The sequence below is a fragment of the Homo sapiens genome, chromosome 7, assembly GCF_000001405.40.
Source record: "Homo sapiens chromosome 7, GRCh38.p14 Primary Assembly".
NCBI lineage: Eukaryota > Metazoa > Chordata > Mammalia > Primates > Hominidae > Homo > Homo sapiens.
In genome coordinates, this window is record NC_000007.14 from 80,127,074 (window position 1) to 80,128,787 (window position 1,714).

At 41.8% G+C, this 1,714-nt stretch overlaps 1 annotated feature.

Annotated features, from left to right (window-relative positions):
* Positions 606-1,145: an enhancer, noted in NCBI's record as "OCT4-NANOG hESC enhancer chr7:79756995-79757534 (GRCh37/hg19 assembly coordinates)". NCBI's record gives its function as "activates a minimal SCP1, AML or CMV promoter by ChIP-STARR-seq in naive H9 embryonic stem cells {active_cell/tissue: H9 hESC(naive)}" and the evidence as "EXISTENCE:reporter gene assay evidence [ECO:0000049][PMID:30033119]".

Here is a 1,714-nt window from a genome sequence, read left to right on the forward strand (position 1 = left end):
TTTTAATGTATCTTCTTCAGTGTTAGAGTGACAGTGAGCTGGGAATAAAGGGGGTAAGGATAAGCCAGGCATAGGAGAGGTGACCAAAGATTTTCTTTCAATACATACATTTTTCCCCAGTCACTTTTATCAGAGATTTAGGATCTGATCTTGAGCACTTGGCTGACTGACTCTCCACTTTGCATAATGTTATAGATCGGTATATGGAAGATCTGGATAATTTCATGTCTTAAAGCTCCTCCTGTGTGATATTTTTCCCCATTCAATGGCCCTTAATTCTTTTTGTTTTGTTTTGTTTTTGTCTGAGACAGGGTCTTACTCTGTAGACCAAAGTGGAGTGCACTGATGCAAGGCTGGAGTGCAGTGGTGCAATTACAGCTGACTGCAGCCTCGACCTCCCAGGCTCAAGCAATCCTCCCATCTCAGCCTCCCAAAGTAGCTGGGACCACAGGTGCATGTCACCATCCCTAGCTAATTTTTAACTGTTTTGTAGAGTCAGGGTCTCACTATGTTGCCCAGGCTGGTCTTGAACTCCTAGGCTAAAGGGATCCTCCTGCCTTGGCCTCACAAAGTGCTGGGACTACAGGTATGAGCCAATGCACCTGGACCCTGAACTCTTACAAAGAGATATTTCTTAAAAACTGAAAACATTTTATTCCTTTTAGCCCCTACTCCATATGTGGTCTAATAAACCACTGATATTCAACAAATGTTTGCTAAACCCTTTAATACAATTATTTGGAATAATATTGCCACTGATAGTAATTAGAACAGAAAAGCACTCAATGCTTCCCTGAATCCCTTTGGCCTGCCTCCTACTCCCAGTCCTCTATCAACCCTTCTGTTGCAGTTCCTGCTGAGCTGAACAAGAGACACACATGCCAGCCTCACAGCTTAAACAAAGAGCTACAGTGAAAGAAAAACAGCTGAGCCAGCAGGAAGCATAAACAGAGGGGGAGGTGTCAAGATAGCTATTTTTAAAGCCAATGTAGTAAATAAACTCATAGGCTTTAATAAAGCCAGGTAGCTCTTTTCTTCAGAAGCTAGCCTATGCTTCAAGCTTGGCCCAAGGTTTGCTTGATCCTCTGTTAGGACAGCATATTTGAAATTTTGGTAAGGGCAAACAACACTGGGGCAGGGGAAGACATGTCCTCATTCTTAGGTTTATTCTTAAAAAGAAAAATAGGAAGCTTGAGAACCATGAAAACACAATGCAGATAGGAATCACAAAATATGTACAAAATGTTATTGTTGCCCATCAAGATACAAACGGATACATCATGAATTTGATGACAATTTCTCCTCTTCGGATCTTATCTACATCCCTCCTTCTGGCCCTCAAAGTCCTCAATTATCCCTGTCACCTTAATCTCTTTCTTTTTCCTATTTTGTTCTTATTCTTGGATCTGACAAAACAGAAAGAAAAATGCACTATAATTATGAGCACATGATGTGCCTGGAACTGTGTTATGAGTTACCTTACTTAACACAACACTTCTAATATCTCCAGTGTTGAAGAAGAAACTGAGGTTTACAAATTCCAAAGTAGAAAAAATTCCCTCCACCTGAATGGCCTGCACAGCTCTATAGGATCTGGTTCCTGCCTACCTTGCAGCCCTCGCCTCCCTGATCTCCTACCTCTCTCATCTCCACTTCAGTCAAACTAACCTTTGAGTTCCTTGATCAAGTCAACTTCCATTCCACCCTAGGGCTG